Consider the following 13668-nt stretch of genomic DNA (forward strand, 5'->3'; position numbering starts at 1 on the left):
CCCTGCCCACCCCTTCCACCCATTTTCCTACCTGCTCTCTCTGGCTTTTCAGTCTCCTCTGTAACCTCCTTGTTCTCTGGAATGAGTATGCTAGTGGTAGCATGTTGCATTACTTGTGTTGCTTGTTTTTTTTTTACTAACCATATATACTGGAGTACTTTATCAGAGTGTCGCTCTTTGTTTTTATAAAGCAGCTTAGTCTTCAGTGTGTAGATATGTCTTTTATGTATCATTCTTCAGTGAGTCTCTTATTGGTGGACACTTGGGCTTATTGCCACAGTGTTGCTACACAAATAGTGCTGAGGGTCGGTTGTGGTGGCTCATGCCTGTAATCCCAGCACTTTGGGAGGCCAGGGTAGGTGGATCACCTGAGGTTTGGAGTTTGAGATGATCAGCCTGGCCAACTTGGAGAAACCCCGTCTCTACTAAAAAATACAAAAGTTAGTGGGGCATGGTGGCACATGCCTGTAATCCCAGCTACTCGGGAGGCTGAGGCAGGAGAATCGCTTGAACCTGGGAGGCAGAGGTTGCAGTGAGCCGAGATTGCGCCACTGCACCTTAGCCTGGGCAACAAGAGTGAAACTGTCTCAAAAAACAACAACAACAATAACAAAAAACACAAATAGTGCTGCAAGGCCTGACCTGGAACATGTGTCCTCCATGTGTGCACGCGTGTGTGCCTGTGCACATGCACAGGTGGGGATGCACCTAGTGTGGGCTGGTTGTCACCAGATCGCTCCTGTACATCTTGATTTCTCTCACCACCAATAGGGATGCTGGTCTCCCAGCCTTGTGTGTGGGCTTTTGGGATTTTGCCTGCTAAAGCACAAAATGGTGACCCTGATATAGTTTGAGCATTTTAAAATATATTAGTATTTAAGGGCCATTTATACTACTTTTTAATGGGTTCTGTTGAAATGCAATGGAAATGGAAAAATAGCCTGTTCAGTTGCTTCATCATACCTGTTAAATGCGGTAATACGGCGTGGTAGGAGATGGGGTTTCACCATGTTAGCCAGGATGGTCTCGATCTCCTGACTTCGTGATCTGCCTGCCTCAGCCTCCGAAAGTGCTGGGATTACAGGCATGAGCCACTGTGCCCGGCCAATTGGATTATTTTAAAGCATAACTCTGTCTTTAAAACATTTTAAGGCATTTTACCTCTTAATGATAAGGATTTAAGAAAAACCCTACAATATCATTATCCTGTCTATAAGATTAACAGTGATTCCTTAATCTAACATGTAGTCCATGTTACATTTTCCTGGACTATCTCAAAAATGCCTTTTTTAGGTGGTAATTTTGAATTAGGACCTGAATATGTTCTGTGTATTGGCATTGGTTGACATATGCTTCTAGTCTCTTTCCCCAAACAACATGGCTCCAGGCCCTCCTCTCCCTGTCTCTGATCATACCATTTTCTTTTTCAAAGAAGCAAGTTGGTTATTTTGGAGAACTTCACATTTTCTGAACTTGGTTGATTGCATTCTCTTATTCTAGACCAACATATTCTTCTGTTAGTTACATTAATCTGCTGGTTAGATCTAGAGGTTTGGTTGGATTTGAATTCAGTCTCGTTGGGGTGGTGTTATGTCTGGAGTCATGCTGCATGCTTTCTGTTGGCTCAGGAGGCCTGTAATGCTCAGTGGCTCCCCGCTTTAGTTCTGTGAAGCTAGACCAGGGAATTCATGTGTTGCGTGTCCTCTATAAAATCCCCTACCAACCTTGCCCTCTGCTGTCTGGTTAGCAGGAGGTACAATTTGTACAGGAAGGACATAATCTAAGCTTGACTTCTTGAACTGCCACCTCCCTTTAACTATTTTTCATAATATTGAGTTGGTATCCTAGCACTTGCATAGGTGACCACCACTCAGGTTTTCTTTTTTTTTGAGTATTTTTATGAACTAATAGACTTCTATTGATTTGGTGTTTCTTTTCTTTTTTAGCTTTTTCCCCCTAATATACACATTTAAAGGCGTAAATGCCCTCAAGCATGCATTTAGTTGTATGTCACCAATTTTGATCTGCAATATTTTGATTATTAATTGAACTCATTTTCTAATTTTCATAGTCATTTTTTCTTAGAATTTTGGGTTACTTATAAGTGTATTTTGTAATTTTCAAATATGTGGATGAATATTTTCATTTTCTGTATATACAGAGTCATTTTTATTTTATTTTGAATGAACTTTTGAAAACCTATTTCTAATTTAACTGCATTGTAGTCAGCACACATGCTGTGTAACTTTATTTCTTTGAAATCTGTTGAGATTTGCTCTATGGCCTGGCATGGCCTGATTTGATATTCATGCTGCCTAGATTTTTTTTAAAGCATTCTATATTTAATAGAATTTGTATGTGTGGTATTAGTTTCAGAGCTAGGTATGTATTTCTCCCATTGTGATTGTGGATTTGTTTATTTCTGCTTGTAGTTCTTTCACACAGTTTGTTCTTTTCATTTTACCTGTTGATTGATCAATGGACTGATTCTGGTTTCTGTATACAGAGAGTCATTTTTTACAGTTCAGAACTGTAGAAATAATGAGGAAGTGACACTTATATGCAAAGCTGATTTGGAGAACCATAATAAAGATGGAGGCTTCTGGATTGTGATTGATGAGAAAGTGTATGATATAAAGGACTTCCAGACACAGTCGTTAACAGGAAATAGTATTCTTGGTAAGATTACCCTTCTTATTTCCTGGTTAAAAGTTACAGCCTGTATCATTTTAAGCAGAGTATTTGGCTTATAAATGATTTCTTTAGTTTTGCGCCAGCCCCCGCATATTTTAATGTATCTGTGGCTTTGGTGTCTGTCTTATCAACAAATTCAGCACATTTGAAGAATTTCCTTTCATTATGCATTTTTTGTTTTAATACTTGGAACTCATTTCAAGTTCTGAGTTGGCCCAGGCAACCCTGGGAGACAGTGGGAGGTCATTATACTCTGGTAACCCTCACTTTTGAGTTAAGCGCCTAACTTATTTCCTACTCACTGTTTCTCCTATAGCTCTTCAGGCAAGCTGAATTGAACTCCTGTTGCTTTTTCCCTTTTTCTTTCAGCTCAGTTTGCAGGGGAAAACCCAGTGGTAGCTTTGGAAGCTGCTTTCGAGTTTGAAGTCACCCGGGAATCCATGCACGCATTTTGTGTTGGCCAATATTTGGAGGTGAGGCTGTATGCCTTGAGTGATGCAGAGGATGGCAGGGGACACCCTCTGTGTGTTTGTGATAGGAATATTTGGATCTAGAAGTACTGATATCTGGGTCTTTTGGGGGGCATTAGGGATAATATAAAGATCCTTTAGAAGTTTTGTCATAAATGAATTTACATTTATTCGTGTTAGGATCTGTGATGTACTGGTCTTGAAAGATTGTTTTTTAAATGATCAATTTGTGAGAAATATAGACAGTGTTCCACAAGAAAAGAGGTTAAACTTTGGTCTTATGTAGAAATTTGGAATGGCTTATTATCTTGAGGTATGTATTTTTTGGGAAGAACTATGTAGAAGTGTAATTCTTTACAATAGAAATATGTCCTTCCTATGTATTCACGAACACATAGAATTTATATACTGGGATTAGCTTTCCAGCTATCCACAAGTAATAAAATGTATTAAATGCCATTAGGGCAGGGCTTAAAGCATTTTATGAAGGGGAGAATTAACTTTGCTGTAAATATCTTCTGTGACTGGAAAAGTTGAACTCTTGCTTTTTTCAGAGTTTGATTTTTGTTAGAATAAATTTCATTTCCTCTACCTGTGTGGTCACAGTCCACTAATACTTGTCATCGAATACTTGTCATAGTTTTGTTGCCCAGTGGGTTCTTTATGCATGTAACAATTCATTATACTTTCTGAAGCATGGTGTACAGTCACTTTGGAAACTGATTCCTAAGGAATATTCTAGCCAAATCATGTATCTGTGCTTTAGTTTTTCTGCGTGTACGGTTGCTGCCAGCTTTATAGGGCATGTGGGTTTATGTGGTATCTGCTGTTACTTGGGCACAGCAGCATCAACTCATTACAGGATGGAGGGGCAGAACACCCAGGGCACCCCTGGGCTCACATGGCGGTACAGCTGCAGGACAGAGCTGTCCTTTTGGTTTTATGTTTTTAATTAATTCTGTTTCCTCAGATTGATGATGAAGTTTATTTTTCCAGCCTGACCAAGAAGTTGTCACCATACCAGATCCGGGAAGTCTCTCTTCACCTCTGATAGACACAGAGAGGAATCTGGGCCTGCTTCTCGGATTACACACTTCCTATTTAGCAATGAGCACACCGCTGTCTCCTGTCGAGATTGAATGTGCCAGTAAGAAAATCTTTGCTTTTTGCTGATTAGCAGATTATTTTTTTTGAACTGTAAGTGCCATTAAGAGTGGGAGAGGGCCAGGCACAGTGGTTCATGCCTGTAATCCCAGCACTTTGGGAGGTTGAGGCATGTGGATTGCTTGAGGTCAAGAGTTTGAGACCAGCCTGGGCAACACGGCAAAACCCCATCTCTACAAAAAACACAAAAATTAGCCAGGCATGGTGGCATGTACTTGTAGTCCCAGATACTCAGGAGCCTGAGGTAGGAGGATCGCTTAAGCCTGGGAGGTTGAGGTTGCAGTGAGTCATGATCATACCACGGCACTCCAGCCTGGGTGACAGAGCAAGACTCTCTCTTTAAAAAAGTAGGAGATGGCCAGGCGGTGGCTCATGCCTGTAATCCCAGCACTTTGGGAGGCTGAGGCGGGTGGATCACCTGAGGTCAGGAGTTCGAGACCAGCCTGGCCAATGTGGTGAAACCCCATGTCTACTAAAAATGCAAAAATTAGCTGGGCGTGGTGACGGGTGCTTGTAATCCCGGTTACTCGGGAGGCTGAGGTAGGAGAATTGCTTGTACCCAGGAGACAGAGGTTGCAGTGAGCCAAGATCGCACCACTGCGCTCCAGTCTGGGTGACAAGAGCGAGACTCCGTCTCAAAAAAAAAGAGGAGGATTCAACACAGTTGATGATGCTACAAAAAATAATAATAAGGATAGTGAGACTCAATCAGGTAGAAACAGCTGTGAGTGGCTGTCATTTGCCCTCATGGTCTGTTGCTGCAGAGGAAGCTAAAAAGTGTGCAGGAGTGTCTACCCGTCTACCCTGTGGTGGTCTCACGTATTGCAGCCTCTGCCTGATGGGCCCAGCATGGCTTTTGTCTCCCTGCATGCCCAGAAATTGCACAGAATGTGGATCAGCTGTTCTCTCAGGGAACAGCGTTCTATTTGAGGACTGCGTTTTTACCAGACCAGGCTCAAGTCAGTTATATTTCAGGATGGCAGCCTTTGTAACCACCTAAAATAATAAGCTTTTTCCTGTCTCCTAAGATGGGTTTACATTTTCCTTCATGTAGTCGTGCATTTCCCATCTGTCTATCTGTCCGTCCGTGTGAGCAGCTTCTGTTGAGCAGTTGCCTGGTGCCGTTACCATGCGAGGTGTTCAGGATGCAGTGATGGATAGGACACGCCTCTGCTTTCAGTTGCTGCTTGTTGATGAGCCAGCATTCTAAGCAGGTCACGTTACAAGGTGGTGAATGGTGAAATGGAGACGTTCATACGTGGTTCTGGGAGAAGAAAGGCTTCACACCGGCAGCAGTCCTGAAATTGCATGAGGGAGCATTCTGGGCAGAAAACACAGGAGTGTCAAGGGCAATGCTGAGAGGAGCAGGGCTTTCCTGCTGCTTGCGAGAGTGGGTGTGGGAGAGGCTTGCGGGAAAGGAGGATCTTGGTGTCCACACAGCCCCCCGTTGGGTGGACCTTTGTGCAGTGCTGGGTGCTGGACTGCCTGTGGTGCCCTCTGAGGTGTCTGCTTCCCTCCCTCCTCCTCAAGGCTCATTGCTTGCCAGAAGATGGGCTTTGTTTAAATTGACAAGGAGGGCAGGGCTGGCGAGCTCCAGAGCAGAGGGTGCCATGAGCCCTGGCAGGTGGGTCCGAGCCACAGGAGGATCAGAGGCTTATCTTGGAGCAGTAAGGAGGGGCTGTCCTGTGCTTAAAGAAAGGGGGCCAGAGAGAGTTGGCATTGGATTAGTGTTTCAGAAGAATGAATGTGGTGGGTTGGGGAATGCTCCTGAGTGCTCTAAAAATCTAAATGTCCAGTAAAAGAACAGTAAGTGCATCCCCGCTTTGATTGCTTGGATTTGGAGCAGTATTTGATAACACAGATCGTTAATAGAGATCTGTAGTGGTGCACATCCTAATTTTGTGTGTATGTGCCGCTCCCTCAAGTGACCATAAGCAGTTGTAATTAACATTTGCACTGGCTGATCCCATGCCTTGCACCATGCACAGGTCTCCTTTCCAGTCCATCGGCCCTCCCGTCTCCAAGGATCTATCCTTCATTAAAGATTGTGTGTTTGTTAAATATTTTCTCCTTTTCATTCCTTTATAAGTGCTCTAGGAATACATAGCCTACCCTGAGGATGTAATTCTTTGTAGAAACCCTTCAGATATGCTGTTCCCTGCCTGGATACTCAGCGTCTGGGTCTTATTCCTCATCTTAGCTCAGTTGTTGCTTCCACAAGTCCCTTACTGACCCTCAGAATAGCGGTGGTCTGTCCTCCAGTCTCCCTGGTACTCCCATAGTCATCCGTTGCACAGTTTTGGACTTGAAATCCTGTGATTAGTTGTGTCAGCGGTGCCCTTTGCTGCCTTCCTTGTTAGAGTGTGCAACTCAGTCTTCACACGGTATCTGTGGAACCAGGCAGCTGCAGGCAGAGCACAGGTATCCAGAGAATTTTGGACTGGAACTACAATCCTGAGTTCTGATGCCATGCCTGAGGTGTGTGGAATCACCAGAAAGTGTATTCACGTAGATAGAGGAATTACAAGTCAACCTGTGTAAACATGTTAGGTGGAGCTCTTTCATATGAATGATGCTGTATTTTACCTTCTAAATTGAGTGTTCAGTTGAGCATCTTTTTTTTTTTTTTAGTATTTATTTTGAGTTGTGCACTTGAGTTTCTCTTTCATGTTTGCGTGTGCATTTTCTAGAATGGCTTCAGTCATCCATCTTCTCTGGAGGCTGCAGACCAGCCAGATCCACTACAGCTACAACGAGGAGAAAGATGAGGACCACTGCAGCTCCCAGTGGGCACACCTGCCAGCAAATCGCGACTGCTCCCACAGATGGGCCCTGGGGGACCATTCTCAGGCATTTCTGCAAGCCATTGCAGACAATAACATTCAGGATCACAACGTGAAGGTGAGCTAGGCCTGTCCCCACTGCCACCTCAGTGCTCTGTTTATCTGAGGACTTTGACATAGGAATACTTATGTGCTCTTTGGTTAACATAGCACAGACTTTGTTTCATGTATTATTTGGAGGGTTTTGAGGTGAGAACCTGATTGTGTTAACATGCTAGCAAGGCTTCGGAAGCATTACTGATTGCAAGTGCATCAGAAGCTGTGGCATGTTTAAGATTTGTGAAGACTCACTGGCCGGCCCTGAAGTTACCTCCAGCTGTTTCTGTTGCAGGGCTTTTTGTGTCAAATAGAAAGGTACTGTAGGCAGTGCCATTTGACCACACCGATCATGTTTCCCCCCGAGCACCCCGTGGAAGAGGTCGGTCGCTTGCTGTTATGTTGCTTCTTAAAACATGAAGATTTAGGTAAGGAGCTCAATATCTGTGTACTTCAGCTAGACTGCAGATTCCTCGACTAACCTGTGGTACATATTCATTCCTTCCCTGTCCTTCTTTTAAATGTCTTTTTGCAGGTCATGTGGCATTATCTTTAGTTCATGCAGGTGCACTTGATATTGAGCAAATAAAGCACAGAACGTTGCCTAAGTCAGTGGTGGATGTTTGTAGAGTTGTCTACCAAGCAAAATGTTCGCTCATTAAGGTGATATATTTTAATTCTTTTTATTCTGTGCTTTGCAGACAGTTGCAGAAATATTTGTTGTTAAAGTTGTCTTTTCCTGGTTAACTTTGCAGACTCATCAAGAACAGGGCCGTTCTTACAAGGAGGTCTGCACTCCTGTCATCGAACGTTTGAGATTCCTCTCTAATGAATTGAGACCTGCTGTTGGTAATGACCTCTCTATAATCTCTGAGTTTAAATTGTTAAGTTCTTTGCCCCGTTGGAGGAGGATAGCTCAGAAGATAATTCGGGAACGGAGGAAAAAGAGAAGTAAGAATGTAAAAGGACAGAAGATACTATTAAAGCATGTGCTTCACCCTGCCTCGCTGGACCTGTGATTTCAGAGTGAAGTTTCTCTACTGTTGATTCCATGTGACATTTCTACCTGCTGCCATCATTTTTATGTATAGTTATGATTAAATACGGAAATCTCTCCTATTTTTTCAACCGATCAGACAATGAGGCAGTTTAGGAATTGAGTGTGGTATGATTTGATTACTAGTAAATTGATGTTGAAAACGTAAATAATCTTTGCTAAATTGATGGGAACAAGGACGTATTTTTATTTTATTAGTTATCCTGGTAATGAGATATAATGGGAACATTTAAACTTATTGCCATTCTTCTAAAGAAATGTTTTTTGTTTGGAAATATTGAGTATTCTGATACATGGAGAATTATAAAGGGAAGCTGAAAGAGTTACTGACATTTTCCTGGAAGTAGCTGTGTAAGAGTACAGAAAAGTCTTTTTGCATTAAATCCAAATTTGAATAAAAATGCTTAGAAATTATAAAATAGTTTAGAATTCAGTCACTTGTGATTATAAATAAACTACAGAAGTTTCTGATTATATCCTTTTTTGTTTTCTTTGAGACGGGGTCTTGCTCTGTCGCCAGGCTGGAGTGCAGTGGTACAATCTCAGCTCACTGCAACCTCCGCCTCCCAGGTTCAAACGATTCCCCTGCCTCAGCCTTCCAAGTAGCTGGGATTACAGGCATGCGCCACCACGCCTGACTAATTTTTGTATTTTAGTAGAGACGGAGTTTCACCATGTTGGCCAGGATGATCTCGATCTCCTGACCTTGTTATCTGCCTGCCTCGGCCTCCCAAAGTGCTGGGATTACAGGCATGAGCCACCCCACCTGGCCTCTGATCATGTTCTTATGACTTATACTGATTTACTCACAAACCTGCTTATTGAACAGTATTAATTACTCAGTTTCTGATGGGCATTTTGAACAATAAGCTTATGAAAGACTAGAGCGTTTTAGAAGCCATCCTAATTTGATTGTTCCTGAACAAACCCTACACCATAACAGCCTGTCGGAATCCGATGGGTGCTCTGGATCAGGAAGTCACAGCAGTCACACTGCTGCAATTCCTTTAACCCAGGCATGCAGGAACTCAGCCCGGGCCCAGGAGACAGGCCTGCCTCAGCATGAGGGAGAGAGACTCCACCATTTGCCATTTCATATCCGTGGGTTCTGAGCCCACACTGTCACTTTTAGAGTTTCTTGTGGGTTTATAGATTTATTGTGTGTTGTTTCAAGCTGGTTTTCTTTTTTTTTTTTTGGAAATTAAGTAACTTAAGAAGATTAAGTGATTAATATTCCTGTTGCTGTGTCAGGGATCGCCAAGCCTTCTCTCAGGCTTGATGATTCACCAAAAGGACTCAGAAGAGCTGTTATACTCACAGCTGTGTGTTTTTTTTTTTTTTAACCGCAAAAAGGATACAGATTAAAATTAGCAAAGGGAAGGGTGCATGGAGGGAAGTCCAGAGGAAACTAGGCACAAGCTTTGGTGTCTCTCCCTAGTGGCGTCACGTGGATGTGCTTAGCTCTCCCAGCAACAGTGGGTCACATCATGTGTGCAGAATTGTTAACCAGGCCAGCGCACCTGAACCTAGAGTCTAGAGATTTTGTTGGGGGCCAGTCACATACGCAGGCAGTGCCCATGTGACTGACCTCAACTACTTACACTCCAGTGCCCCAGTGCAAAAACAAGTGGTCCCTCGCAAGTCACATCATTAGCATAAATTGCCTGGCCAGACCACTGCCACAAGGTCCTGGGTGTCAGGTATACCAAAAAACTTATCAGGCAGGATGTTCCAAGGCCTCAGAGCTCAGCTCCTAGAAGAAGAAGGACCAATCCTGAAGGGACAGACCTTCCTTGGGAATTTGCAGTGTTTGAGCAACCCCGGCCTGCTATGTTAGCTCTTTACTGCCCAGGTGTATTGTCATGTTGCTTATTTTTTATATTATATGCTGAGGAGATTTAGACCAAAAATTTTAAAAGAGATAAAATATAGGGAGGAAATTCCACATATCACAATGAATTCAATTAATTCAGTTACACACTAACAGAACCACTGAACTGGACCATGGTGGACAAGCCAGGAACTGTGGGCCAAATTCCACCTCTTGCTTGCTTTGTGTTGCCCGTGGACTAAGACCTTTTTTTTTTTTTTTTTTTGCAGTTTGAAATTGTTTTTTAAAAATTAAAAGAAGTATATTATTTTTGACACATGAAAATTACATGAAGCTAAAATTGTAGCACCATAAAGTTTTACGGGAGCACAGCCACACCTGTTGCTTTATCTGTGGTTACTTTTTGTGCTACAGCAGCAGAGTTGAGTATTTCCAACAGACTGCGTGGCCTGAAAGACTCAAATGTTCACTCTCTGGCACTTGAGGAAGAGCTTGCTGGCTGCTGGGCTTCCCCTGCTTCGGGGCTTCTCCCCTTGTCACACTCTCACTTTGTCATTTTGTTCTGCCATGGTGATCATTTCACTCTTGTTGTTTGAGCCTTGCAATTTATAATGTTGTTCAGATGTTTATTTGAATGAAATATTTGTCTTTCATGTAAGTCTAAGTATTTCCTAATTTAAAATTAATGTTTAAGTGTATGATTTTTTATAGTGAATGATGTTTTAAAACACAGTTCCTAAGAAGCCAGAATCTACGGCTGATGAAGAAAAAATTGGAAACGAAGAGAGTGATTTAGAAGAAGCCTGCATTTTGCCTCATAGTCCAATAAATGTGGACAAGAGACCCATTGCAATTAAATCACCCAAGGTGCAGTGTTTTCTGTGATTCTGAGGTTAGCTGAATAGAATCATAGCATGTAGCAAAGGAATCCACAGTCTTGTACCTCCGTACCTGAGCATCCGGAGGGAGGGACGGGCGGTTGTTAGAAATACGGCCCCAGTGATGGTTCATGAACTTGACTTATGATGTCCTGGTCAGAGCTGTAGCTGGAGAAGGGTTTCCTTTTATTTTTGGTACTAGATTGTATCATTAATTATTCACCATTCATTCCTTAAATATATTCTTTGTTCCAGAAACAGTGCTGGGCCCTGTGGCTATTAATATGAACCACAACTTAACTTCGTATGCCAAGCTAGCCTGTTCCAACATATATTAGTATAGAGATAAGTTCACTTATATTTATAGCATAGTTTTAAAACCATGTATTAATTACTAAATTTAACATATTTTAACCAATTTAAACCTATGAGCATTATTTATATTTTACTTGAATAACTTTTAGAGCACAGTTTAATATTAAATAGGGTAGACTAATGATGAAAATTGTTTTCCTTTGTTAGGACAAATGGCAGCCACTGTTGAGTACTGTTACAGGGGTTCACAGATACAAGTGGTTGAAGCAGAATGTTCAGGATCTTTATCCGCAGTCTCCACTCCTCAGTACAATTGCTGAATTTGCCCTTAAGGAAGAGCCAGTGGATGTGGAAAAAATGAGATAGTGCCTACTAAAACAGATAACATTTGATGAGAAATGCTTCTCTGCAGTGGGTAATATACATAACACTTAACTGTATATGCATTGATATTTTGCAGTTGGAGAGAGCAGAGGTTCGCCTGGAAGGGATAGATACAATTTTGAAATTGTATCTGGTGAGCAAGAATTTCTTACTTCCATCTGTGCAGTAAGCGATGTTTTGTGGATGGCAAAGACTTATTCCTGAAGGAATCGATATAGGGTAAAACGTTAGCATATTTTTTTCCTAACTAAGGAAGCTGTGGCAACAGAATGTTGTTCTGTAACAGTTAGAAGTCTGGCAGTGTCCCGAGTCAAATTCTTTATCTTTATTTGAAAGGGAACCTCTTACTGATTGTTTAAAGGATGTTGATTTGATCCCACCTTTTAATCGGATGCTGCTGGAAGTCACCTTTGGCAAGCTGTATGCTTGGACTGTTCAGAACATTCTAAATGTTCTGATGGATGCCAGTGCCAAATTTAAAGAGCTTGGTGACCAATTGCATCAATGTTATTTTATAGTTTGCCTTTAATTATGTGTTGTGGAAACTTGCAAATGCCAATTTTTGCTTTTGAGAAGACTGTAATAAGTTTGTACTTTGTACTTGTATAATCTATGCTGCTGTCAGCTTTCTCAGATTTTAAACAAAACTTTAAAATTTAGCAGGAGATACAATGTTGAAGTACTCTAGTATAACATTTTTACATTTTGACATTTATATGTGTATCACCACATATCCTAAGTGTCTGTGTCCTATATTAATATTTATTTCCTGGATAGTCTGAGCATCTACAGAGAGTTGATTGGATTGGTTTTGTGGAGGAAAAGTGAGACATAACTTTTATATTTGAAATGGAAGGAATGGAATAGGGCACCAGTGTATTCAGAGAGCAACATGCTAAGTCCTGTAGACAGATGGAACGACCTGTGCATAGAATACAGGGGTTAGGCCCATCGTGCAGCATGACAGAGCTGCCCACTCTGTGGAAACCACTGAAAAATAGTCAGATGTTTAGAGTAATTGCCCGTGCTTTCTGTGTTACTTTTATTCTTGTATCCACGCACAAGAAATGTCAGTGGGTGTCAATGCTTATTAGTCAGATGTTTAAAGTAATAGCCCGTGCTTTCTGCGTTATGTTTATTCTTGTATCCATCACAAGAAACGTAAGTGGGTGTCAATGCTTATTAGGTATCCAGCCGGTTCCCCTGCAGACCATCACCAGTGAGAACCCATTGGGACCGAGCCTGGGGAGCATCCCGCAAGCCCGCTTCCTCCTGATGATGCTCAGCATGCTCACCCTGCAGCACAGCGCAAACAACCTCGACCTCCTGCTCAATTCCGGCACGCTGGCCCTCACTCAGACGGCACTGCGCCTGATTGGTAGGTCTGCACTGGCTTGAGAGCCTTTGGGAAAACGTCAAGATTTTGCTTTGATTTCTTTTTTTTTTTTTAAGCTTTTTGTAAATTATGGTAAGACACAAATAGCAGAAAGTGTAGCATTTTAACGTCGCAATTCAGCAGTATTAAATACATTCACAATTTTCTAGAGTCATCACCACTGTCTGGTTGTAGAACTTTTTCATCACTATAAATGCACCCCATTTAGCCATCAGTCCTGACTCACCTGCTCTCCAGCCCCTGGTAGTCACAAATCTGCTTTCTCTGTCTATGGATTTGCATATCCTGGATATTTCATATAAATGGAATCATACCATTTGTGGCCTTTGTGTCTGGGTTATTTCATTTGGTATATATCAGTACTTTATTTTTATGGCTGAAAAAGATTTCCATTGTATGAATATATAACATTTTGTTTATTCATTTATCTGTTGATGGACATTTGGGTTGGTTTTGCCTTTTGACTTTTGTGAATAGTGTTGCTAGCAACATTTATATACAAATACTTGTTTGAACACTTGTTTCTAGTTCTTTTGATTATACACCTAGGACTGGAATTACAGGGTCATATGGTACAACTATGTGTAACTTACTAAGAGA

The 13668-nt window shown here is 41.9% G+C and overlaps 1 pseudogene across 1 annotated transcript in view; it reads left to right on the top strand.

Annotated features, from left to right (window-relative positions):
- Positions 1-13668, top strand: part of LOC102723753 (HECT and RLD domain containing E3 ubiquitin protein ligase 2 pseudogene) — a 35989-nt pseudogene that overhangs the window by 9426 nt on the left and 12895 nt on the right. Inside the window, exons 8-18 of the transcript NR_135178.1 lie at positions 2507-2679; positions 3064-3167; positions 4161-4311; positions 7019-7229; positions 7503-7635; positions 7743-7870; positions 7963-8158; positions 10829-10962; positions 11496-11891; positions 12009-12160; positions 12859-13050. The product of NR_135178.1 is annotated as an HECT and RLD domain containing E3 ubiquitin protein ligase 2 pseudogene (transcript). The remainder of the gene's footprint in view (positions 1-2506; positions 2680-3063; positions 3168-4160; positions 4312-7018; positions 7230-7502; positions 7636-7742; positions 7871-7962; positions 8159-10828; positions 10963-11495; positions 11892-12008; positions 12161-12858; positions 13051-13668) is intronic.

The sequence above is a fragment of the Homo sapiens genome (assembly GCF_000001405.40).
Source record: "Homo sapiens chromosome 16 unlocalized genomic scaffold, GRCh38.p14 Primary Assembly HSCHR16_RANDOM_CTG1".
Classification (NCBI taxonomy): domain Eukaryota; kingdom Metazoa; phylum Chordata; class Mammalia; order Primates; family Hominidae; genus Homo; species Homo sapiens.